The sequence below is a fragment of the Homo sapiens genome, chromosome 10 (assembly GCF_000001405.40).
Source record: "Homo sapiens chromosome 10, GRCh38.p14 Primary Assembly".
NCBI classification, from domain to species: domain Eukaryota; kingdom Metazoa; phylum Chordata; class Mammalia; order Primates; family Hominidae; genus Homo; species Homo sapiens.
The window spans coordinates 68072256-68082460 of NC_000010.11; the positions used below are offsets into that span (position 1 = coordinate 68072256).

A 10205-nucleotide genomic window follows, 5' to 3' on the forward strand; every position below is an offset into this window, starting at 1 on the left:
ATTCTCATTACCCTACAAATTATTTAATTTGCTTGTACAACTACTACAAAATCAGGACACTTCATAGTCACAAAATCTTTAATAGCTAGCAATGCTACAGAAAGTAGAAGATGAGAGGAATAAAAGATATTTCTAACTAAATCAAATAAAATTACATATTTAAAATACTATGACAGAGGGATAAAAAGAATAAAAATATATTTTAGGCAAGCAAGTCAAAGTAAAAAGCTTCCGTCTTGTTTTCCTCCCCCCTCCCAAAGTAAGGTAAACACAGAGTAAATTATGCATTTAAAATCTATCCAGGGTGGCTGAACAGAATTTATTAAAGAGGACCTGCACACTACACACTCTGTACCAAAGATTTATATACTGCAGGCTGATTTTCTTTATTGTTTTATATCGTCATACAAAATAAGGTTTTATAATACTAGTAGTAAAAAAAAAGAAACCACAACATAAAGTACTTAGAACCATACAAATATACACATATAATGGAAATACATAACTTCTACTTTGCTTTTAAAGCTTGATAAACATATAGTTACAACTAGAGAAATTATACGATGATTCAAATTTAAAATGATATAATTATTAAAAATAGCAAATTTTAAAAACATTTCAACTTACCTGGTTTCTTTCTGGATTTTTCATGACCTAGCTGTCCTAGATCATTACATCCACATGTGTACACTGTTCCATCATCCAGAACAAACACAGTATGTCTGAGTCCACATCCTACATCTCGGACCCTTTTATTTATAAAGAAGTCACTTTTTCTGGGCTCTAGTACAATTTCTTCATCAATTCCACCCAAACCTAGCTGCCCAAAGGATGCATTTCCCCAGCACAACATGCTTGTAATTATTTTGGTCTTCCAGTTTCAATAAAAAATTCTCTTCTGAAACCCCGGAAAGTTGGAGGTACCCTATGTCTGAGGAAATAGAAAGAAGTTAATATGACTTCAAAGAAAAAAGGATGTATAATTGCTCTTTCAAGTGCTAGGCTACAATAATTGCTACATGGTAAACATTAAATATACTTTATAACATGCTACATAAGTATCATTCAGTTTCAAAAACCAATCAGTTGTATTTTTTAAAATGTATCATACAGAAATTTTTAGGGAAAATATGACACTTTCTATGATCCTTTGCAAAATTTAAAACATATTAACTAGTTTTGACTTCTGGTTATCTTGTGATAGACTAAACTAATAGGAATAAGTACCTTGATGAAATTAATCACAATTTTTTCTACTTTTTGCTTTAAATAATTTCAATGGGAACAAGAAATAAGACATCTTTCCTCTGCCCAAAAAGCAAATATACACAGTGCAAAATTTAGCCAACTGCAGAAACATAACCTTGCAATCCTAGTATAATTAAGCTTTCTAATACCTACCTCCACATCAACAGAAAATGGAGTTCTTATCTGTAACAGAAATAAAACCAATAATGGAAATTTAAAGCAATTTTCCACAATTTAAACGACTCTCCCAATTACTCTTTAGCCCAGAGAGAAAATGAAGATTCTCTTACCAAACCATAATCTTAAATCACCTCCAAAGATCCCAGATTTCAAATCAAAATACTAACATTCCAACCTCACTAATTTTAAAACTAAATCAATGTGCATAATTATAATACAGAAAAAAAAACATGCAATTTAAATATCAATTCTCTCCAAAATTCAACCTCTTTTATTACAAGTGGTAACCGGGATTAAAAAAATCACCCGTGGGCAATCTATATCTATCTATATCTCTGAGACAATTATTTAAAGATTGGCGGGGGGGAATTGCAAATAACTCCAGCACTGCAGATTTTTCAAGAATAGGAATGGATAGTCTGATGGCGAAATCTGTAGAACTTTCCAGCACACTGACTGAATATTTCCTCACTTGTAAAGAAAGACACAAATAACAGAGTCCACTTCATCTATACATACGTAGACTTTTAAACACATCGCGTTACTAAATATCATAATTACAGGAAGTCAGCCTTATTCTGTAGCAGTCATCCACATTCTTACAGAGCCTGCGAAGTTTCAACTCCAATTTTCCTATGTTCCTGTTAGCAAGTGCCCAAGGTGTCCCATTCCACGACCCATCATCCCATTAACAGAAGTTTGATTTCATTCTTTTGGGGTATCAGAACTCGATAATTCCCAAGAGTTCTGCATTGTCTTCCCATATTTAAAAACAAAATAAGAGTAATACAGGAAAATACCCCGACTTCAGCGCGCGAGGTTTAACCACCCTTTTCTTTAAAACACAGAGGCGTCCTCTCGCCAGCAACAGGTAGGGAAATGAGAAGCAGTTTAGTCCCGTCTTTCCCTGAACGTGCACCCAGATCAGCTCATGGGGACTGGGAAAGAGAAATCATCTGCACACACCCAACCTCGCAGCCAAGCAGACGACTACCGCAACCGGCCGCTCGCAACAGCTTCAGAGGCCGGCGGCCGAGGCTTGGCAGTGCGCGGCCTCAACCTGAGAGAAGCCCATCCCCAGGCAGATGAGACATTCCAGCCCCGGGGCCAGGGAGCCACAGCCCTGCCCTCGCCCCACGCCCCTCACCCCCAGGAAGCGCGGAGAAAGCGCCCTATGCCGGGCCGGCCTGCATCCGCCCAGCCCGGCCTGCCCCTCCCTAACGCCGTCACACGCCCCCGAACCCGCTGGGGCCACAACTCGCCCAAGCCCTTCAGGGTAGGGGAAGCCCAAGGTGACGGGGGGCGGCCCCTGCCCAGAGAGCAAGGCAGCGCGGTCGCTGAAGCACGTCTCCGGCTCCTGGGACCCTCCTCTGTCAGCCAGTGGCGACGATCACCAGGGCACCTCCGGCGTCTGTGCCGCTGCTCCGCTGCTCCCCTCCCCGGCCCCTGGGAAACTTTACCGGGTTCCTTAGAGAAAAGCGGACGCCACTGCTGTCCAGTCCAGAGACAGCCGTCAGCGACCCGGATGGAGCGGGCGGGGAAGAACGGGAGGCAAGCGGGGCGGAGAGCACCAGGGGTGGGGAGAGTTGGGGAAGAGACTGGGTAGGAGAAGGCAGAGGGGGAGGTGGCCACGCGAGGGAGGCGGGGGAGGGGCTGGCCGGAAGTGAACCGCAGAGCACGCGCGCGAGCCCGCCCACTTCCCGGCCCCGGCACCGGCGCCTGCGCCGAATCTTCCGGGGGGGGGGGGGGGGGGGTGGCTGGCCACAGGCGCCTGCGCAGTGTGCCGCTTTGCGTTGCTTTAAGAGGGAAAAGCCAAATACAGAAAGTTGGAGTTTGCGAAGACAAACGAAGAAGATGTCAACTGTTTTTGAGAATGCTTCGGCGTGCACAAAGCCTTTTAATGAAGAAAATCACTTTGTTTTTTGGTTTGGTTGTCTTTGTGCTCATGGATGCTAGCTAGTCTTTTTATTATTTTACTCTCTCTTTTCCCAAGGAGATTTTAAAGTAGCAGATGAAACATCACAATTATGAACATAAAGACTGGTGAAGAGTTATTTTATCCCATGGCCTCAACTGGAGCCAGTCTGAGGATGTGAGATGTGTTGATGGCAATGGCTGAAGCTACTCTACTACCACCACCACCAGTTCAGTTTCCTTGTACAGTGTTGGCTACCATCACTTTCTACACTCTCCCTGAAAGATAGGCTTGAATTGCAGGGTCTCATTCTATCAGAGAAAATTACACATTGGCTGCAGTCCCTGATTCATAAAAACGAAGTCTGGATCTCCTAGGCCAGCCTTAACTTCTTAAAAAGCAGGAGAACTTGAAACAATGCACTTTTGAAATTGTAAGTTGGGTATTGCTAGAATGAATATTCAGTACCTAGAAGAAGTTCCACAAATAGGCCATCTTTCTTTTTCTTTTCTTATTTTTATTTATTTATTTATTTATTTATTTATTGAGACAGAGTCTCGCTCTGTTCCCCAAGGCTGGAGTGCAATGGTGCGATCTCAGTTCACTGGAACTTCCGCCTTAGCCTCCTGAGTAGCTGGGACAACGGGCATGCGCCGCCATGCCCGGCTAATTTTTGCATTTTTAGTAGAGACAAGGTTTCGCCATATTGGCCAGGCTGGTCTCAAACTCGTTACCTCAGGCGATCCACCCGCCTCGGCCTCCCAAAGTGCTGGAATTACAGGCGTGAGCCACCGGTCCTGGCCTGTTTCTTTATCTCTTGTTGAAAAACATGTTTTAGATAAGAACTGTCTGTGCTAGAATATGTTCAAGTGTGTGTATTCGTGTCCTAGGCTTGCCATATAAATTAAAACAGATTCGGTGGCTTAAAACAACAGAAATTTATTGTCTCACAGTTCTGAAGACCAGTTCAAAATCAAGGTGAAAGTAAGCTTGGTTCTCTCTTGGGGTCTCTGAGAGATAATCTTTTCCAGGCTTCTCTGCTAGCTTCTGGTGGTTGCCAACAATCCTTGGCAATCCTTGTAGAAGCATCCCTCTTCACCTTGTTTTCCCTGTGTGTCTGTCCAAATTTCCCTCTTTTATAAGGACACCAGATATTGGATTAGAGCCTACCCTGATCCATTATGACCTCATCTTAACCTTATTACATCTGCAAAGAACTCATTTCCAATTAAAGGTCACATTTGGCCGGGCACGGTGGCTCACGCCTGTAATCCCAGCACTTTGGGAGGCTGAGGCGGGTGGATCACCTGAGGTCGGGAGTTCGAGACCAGCCTGACCAACATGCAGAAACCCTGTCTCTACTGAAAAAATACAAAATTAGCCGGGCGTGGTGGTGCATTCCTGTAATCCCATCTCCTCAGGAGGCTGAGGCAGGAGAATTGCTTGAACCTGGGAGACGGAGGTTTTGCGGTGAGCCTAGAGCGCGCCATTGCACTCCAGCCTGGGCAACAAGAGCAAAACTCCATCTCAAAAAAAAAAAAAAGTTCACATTCACAGGTACTGGAGGTTAGGACTTCAGCTTATCTTTTGAGGGATCAAATTTAACCCACAACAGTATGTTACAGAAATGAATGTAGAATGACAAGATGCTTAAGCAAGGAAAGCATAATTTCAACATGAGAAATGGTAGGAATGTTCACAAAAAATACTCATATTTTGAGAGTTTCATTGCTCTTGTTGGCTTTTTTTTTTTTTTTTTTTTTTTTTGAGACATCATCTTGCTCTGCTCATCTCGGCTCACTGCAATCTACACCTCCCAGGCTCAAGGGATCCTCTCATCTCAGCCTCCTGAGTAGCTGGGACTACAGAACACATGCCACCACGCTCTGCCAATTTTTGTATTTTTTGTAGAGACAGGGTCTTGCCATGTTGCCCAGGGTAATCTACAACTCCTGGGCTCTAGTAATCCACCCACCTTGGCCTCCCAGAGTGCTGGGACTACAGGTGTGAGCCACCGCGCCAGGCCTCTTGTAGGATTTTTGTTTGTGGTCTTTTACCCTTAAGGGCTTGTTGCCTCAGAATATATCATTAAAAGGGAAGTTATGGAATTCAGGATCTTTAAGATATACAATTGATGCTATAATACATAAAAATTAAAATGAGTGGCTTAATATAAGTGTATTTTTTAACCTTTTTAGCAGTCCAAATAAGTGTTCCTAATGAGTGAAAACTGATCTCCAGGGACCTGAGAAGATGGAGGGAGGGTGAGCTTCTTAAAATCCTTGTTTGGGAAATGCCACATAGCACTACTATACACAAAACAGAACTCTGCCCGTAGAAACAAGGGTGCTGGGAAGCATAGTCCCTGAGTTCCCAAGTACTACTTCATGCTGTGGAAGGGAGAGCATGAATTGGTGGACAGCTGTCTATTCCACCTGGATATATATCTATCTGGAATATTTTTAAAGATAGATCTTGCTTGTAGAAAGTGGAATGGACATTTTTGCATGTTCCTTTTAACCTTACAAATCTGTGAAACCATGGTGCAAGGTTTTAGAAAGTAGCATGTGATTATCTTTAAGATGAAACAAGTATGGGATCCTAGGGTTATTAGAATAATGTAAATTTGTTGTATAAATGCAGCATGAGATATTGGTGAGTATGATCTCTGGTGCTGGTTTATCTGAATTCAGAGCCTAAACCCTATAAGCTTACCTCAGACCTCTGTCCTTCTATCCCCCCAAACACAAGGGCATTTACTAATGATCTGTTTTACAGAATATTACATCTCAGCCATAATTTTTATAATTATGTTCATAATCCATATCTCACTGGGCTGTTGTGAAGCCAGTAAAATGACACATACAGTGCCTTGTATGTGGCAGGAGTTTTGTAAATGTTAGCTTTTACTATTACTAGTATTATTTCTCCTGAATTACTAGTAAGGGAATGCAGTCCATATGACCAGAAAGAAAATAATATTAATTCATAACAGAGTAAAGTATTTTTTTTACCTATTTTTATTTAAAAAAAATAATGCTCAGACTGTTGAGAGACATCTAAAAATAGTATTCATTCTTCTTCCACTCTTTCTCTTTCTCCCTTCCTTCCAGCCATACTGCTCCTGCTGGATCTCACCTCATTTTCTTCATTCAGGTCTCTACTCATGTCACCTCTACAGACTTCCCTGATCAGCCTATCCAAAAAACCACCCCTCTCTCCCTATCATCTTATCCTGCTTGCTTTTCCTTCATATCCATTATAACAAACTGACATTTTAATATATAATTCATAAATATGTATTATGCTTATATAAAAAATATATAACTAAGAAAATGGATAAGCAATTATATACAATCTATTTACATATTACTTAAATAGATATTTAACTTCACCTCCTCCATTAGAATGAAAACTCATAAAGGCAGTGATTTTGTCTGTTTTGCTCCGTGCTCTATCCCCCGGGATCTTGAACAGTTCCTGGCCCACGGCAAGTGCTAAAAATATACTCCTGAGGCTGGGTGCAGTGGGTCAGACCTGTAATCCCAGCCCTTTGGGAGGCCGAGGCAGGCAGATTGCTTTGGGCTCAGGAGTTCGTGACCAGCCTGGCAACAATGGTGAAACCACGTCTCCACGAAAAAGACAAAAATTAGCTGGATGGGGTGGTGTGAACCTGTGGTCACAGCTACTCGGGAGGCTGAAGTGGGAAGATTGCTTGAGTCGAGGAGACAAAGGTTGCAGTGAGCGGAGATTGTGCCACTGCACTCCAGCCTGGGCAACAGAGTAAGAGACCCTGTCTCTAAAAAACAAAACAAACAAAAAAAAAACCACTTCTTGAATTAATTAATTAATGGTGCTGGCAGCATTGTAAATTATCACAACCTTTTAATAAATAAATTTGGCAATATATTTCAAGAGCCAGTAAATTTCATTTAATAGTTCATAATAATAGCAATATTTATTGTGAGACATTGCCCTAAACCATTTACCTGTACAATATTACTTCTGGATTCTGTCCTAAGGAAATACAAGATGCATTCAACAAATGTTTATTGAGCACCTACTATGTCACACCCTCCCAAGTCTAGCAGGATAGATAGAAACATGGGGGTGGGTGAATGAAAGTATGAACAAGATTTTTATTGCAGTGTTATTTCCCATAGCAAAAATTAAAAGCAGCCAGCCAGGCGTGGTGGCCCATGCATGTAATCCTAGCACTTTGAGAGGCCCAGGCAGGTGGATCACCTGAGGTCAGGAGTTTAAGACCAGCCTGGCCAACATGGTGAAACCCCATCTCTACTAAAAATGCAAAAATTATCTGGGCTTGGTGGTGCGCACCTGTAATCCCAACTACTCGGGAGGTTGAGGCAGGAGAATCACTTGAACCCAGGAGGCAGAGGATGCAGTGAGCCGAGTTCGCACCATTGCACTCCAGCCTGGGTGACAAGAGCAAAACTCCATCTCAAAAAACAAAACATAAAAAATAAAAAAAATTAAAAGCAGCCTAAGTTCCATATTAAAAAAAATAAAAAATAAAAACATAAAAGCAACCTAAGTTCCAACATGGGAAAATGGGTATTGATATGTGGCTGGTAAAATTACGATTTGAAAGACTGTTGCTGCAAAATTTACATGATACAATCATAAGGTTCTTTTAAAAGTAGAATACAAAATTGTATGTTTCTTGCTTGTAGCCATGTTTTTAAAAGATGGAAAAGAAATATACCAAAATACTGCAAATTGTGTTAGAGTGTTGAAATTTGAAGCAATTCTTTTCTCTATTTTCCAAATTTCTATAAATATTTAACTTATGGCTTAAAAAGTTGTGGATAAGAGAAATCTTACTTGCTTCAAAAATAGAAGAGGTTGAAAGTGTAAATATGCATAATTATATCATTAATCTAAAAGTAAATACAGAACTTCAAATGAATCAAATTTTTCTTTTATTTGCAAAGTATATATTCACATTTATATATAGTTTAAGTCAAGGTTGTAATTCTATGAAATTTGTAAAATATTGAGTGTCAGGAGGATCTTATGAGTTAAATGCTGAATTATTTGACTCCTTTAAGTGAATTAGAAGTTTCTGTTTTGGTAAGCATTGCTTTTAGAGGTGTCAGACATTTTAGAACTATGTATGTGGGAATGCCAATTTGAGTTCATTTGTGCCACTAAAAGATTACCCCTCAGTTTTCTTTTGATCCTTGTATTTAATTTCCTAGGGCTGCTGTAACAAATTACCACAAACTCGGTGACTTAAAACAACAGACTTTATTCTCTCATGGTTTTGGAGGTAAGAATTCTAAAATCAAGGTGTTAGGAGTGCTACATTCCCTCCAAAGGCTTTAGGAAGAATCCTTCCTTGCCTTTTCTAGCTTTTGGTGGCTCCCGTCATTCCTTGGCTTATGGCAGTGTAACTCCAATCTCAACCTCCATCTTCACGTGGCCTCCTTCCCTTCCTCTGTGATCGCTCCTTTCTTTCCTCTTTCCTTTCCCTTTTAAGAACACCGGTCATTGAATTTAGGGCCCACCTAATCAGATCTATAACTTATTTACATCTCCAGAGCCATAATTTGATGACATCTGCAAAGGCATTACAGTCATGCGTCCCTTAATGATGGGATATTGTCTAAAAAATGCATTGTTAGGCAATTTTGTCATTGTGTAAACAACATAGAGTGGACTTACACAAACCTAGATGGTGTAGCCTACTAAACACCTAGGTTATATGGTATGGCCTTTTGCTCCTTGGCTACAAACCTGTACAGCATGTTACTATACTGAGTACCACAGGCAACTGTAACATAATTGTATCATACACTAAGTGTTTGTGTATCTAAACATAGAAAAGGTACAGTAAAAATATGCTATTATAATCTCATGGGACCACACCATCCTATATGTGGACTGTTGTTGACTGACATATCATTATGCAGTGCATGACTGTATTTTTGAAATAAAATCACATTCTGAAGTTTCAGATGGACATGAATTTTGGGGGAGCTCTATTCAACCCACTACTGTTCTATTATCTTAATTTTCTGAAAACTTAATGTGACTTGCACCTACCTCTCAATTACCCTAAAGAAAAACTGGTGATTTATAGGGTAACATATATTTTGAAAACATTATTTCAGAAGAGATAAAGACCAACATTATCTATGTACCTTCTGCCTGCAAATAATCTCATTAGCCTGGGATTCTGGACATTTGCTGAGTGCATGTTCATTTTCCTGTCATTGACACCACAGTTCTTCCTGCCCTAAAGTCTGTTTTCCCATTCACCTTTTCGTTGTTCTTGCACATCTTATAGTTCTTTCTTGCTTTCTTCTATTTGCATATTACAGACTGTGTCTTAGACTCCTCTTCTTATAAAGTCACATTGGATTAGGTCCCACCCATATGACCTCATTTTACCTTATTACCTCGTTAAAGAATCTAACTCCAAATACAGTCACATTCTGAGGTACTGGGGGTTAGGACTTAACATATGAATTCAGGGGTGGCGGATTGAGTGGTGTAACACAATTCAGCCCATAGCCATTTCTTTTTTTCTTCTGAATTGCATTATAAAAAGTCCTTTTGAGGCTGGGTGCGGCGGCTCACGCTTGTAATCCCAGCCCTTTGGGAGGCCAAAGCAGGCAAATCACCTGAGGTCAGGAGTTTGAGACCAGCCTGGCCAACATGGTGAAACCTCGTCTCTACTAAAAATAGAAAAATTAGCTGGGCATGGTGGTGGGCGCCTGTAATCACAGCTACTTGGGAGGCTGAGGCAGGAGAATTGATTGAACCTGGGGGGCGGAGGTTGCAGTGAGCCGAGATTGTGCCATTGTACTCCAGCCTGGGCAACAGAGAGAGACTC

At 40.9% G+C, this 10205-nt stretch overlaps 1 protein-coding gene and 1 long non-coding RNA gene across 24 annotated transcripts in view, besides 2 other annotated features; both read right to left on the reverse strand.

Annotated features, from left to right (window-relative positions):
* Positions 1 to 3028, reverse strand: part of HERC4 (HECT and RLD domain containing E3 ubiquitin protein ligase 4) — a 153379-nt gene extending 150351 nt beyond the window's left edge. For 12 of the 23 annotated variants that reach the window (NM_001278186.2, XM_047424999.1, XM_017016041.3 and 9 more), the window contains exons 1-3: positions 2889 to 3028; positions 1402 to 1431; positions 628 to 931 (exon numbers count right to left, since the gene is read on the reverse strand). Coding sequence is in view for 19 of the 23 variants with exons in the window: in XM_047424999.1 (XP_047280955.1) it covers positions 628 to 853 (226 nt within the window). In the remaining 4 variants the exon portion in view is untranslated. Of the gene's footprint in view, positions 1 to 627 lie in introns of all 23 variants that reach the window. The other 11 variants (XM_047425000.1, XM_047424992.1, XM_024447927.2 and 8 more) reach the window with 5 other exon arrangements.
* Positions 2476 to 2675: a silencer, noted in NCBI's record as "silent region_2416". NCBI's record gives its function as "represses an Ori minimal core promoter by ATAC-STARR-seq in GM12878 lymphoblastoid cells {active_cell/tissue: GM12878}" and the evidence as "EXISTENCE:reporter gene assay evidence [ECO:0000049][PMID:35858748]".
* Positions 3036 to 3205: a silencer, noted in NCBI's record as "silent region_2417". NCBI's record gives its function as "represses an Ori minimal core promoter by ATAC-STARR-seq in GM12878 lymphoblastoid cells {active_cell/tissue: GM12878}" and the evidence as "EXISTENCE:reporter gene assay evidence [ECO:0000049][PMID:35858748]".
* On the reverse strand, positions 8600 to 9839 carry LOC124902442 (uncharacterized). The gene is made up of 2 exons (XR_007062175.1): positions 9511 to 9839; positions 8600 to 8838 (listed from the first exon to the last, which is right to left on the reverse strand). It is a non-coding gene; the product is annotated as an uncharacterized LOC124902442 (long non-coding RNA).
* Positions 9840 to 10205: the final 366 nt, after the last annotated feature.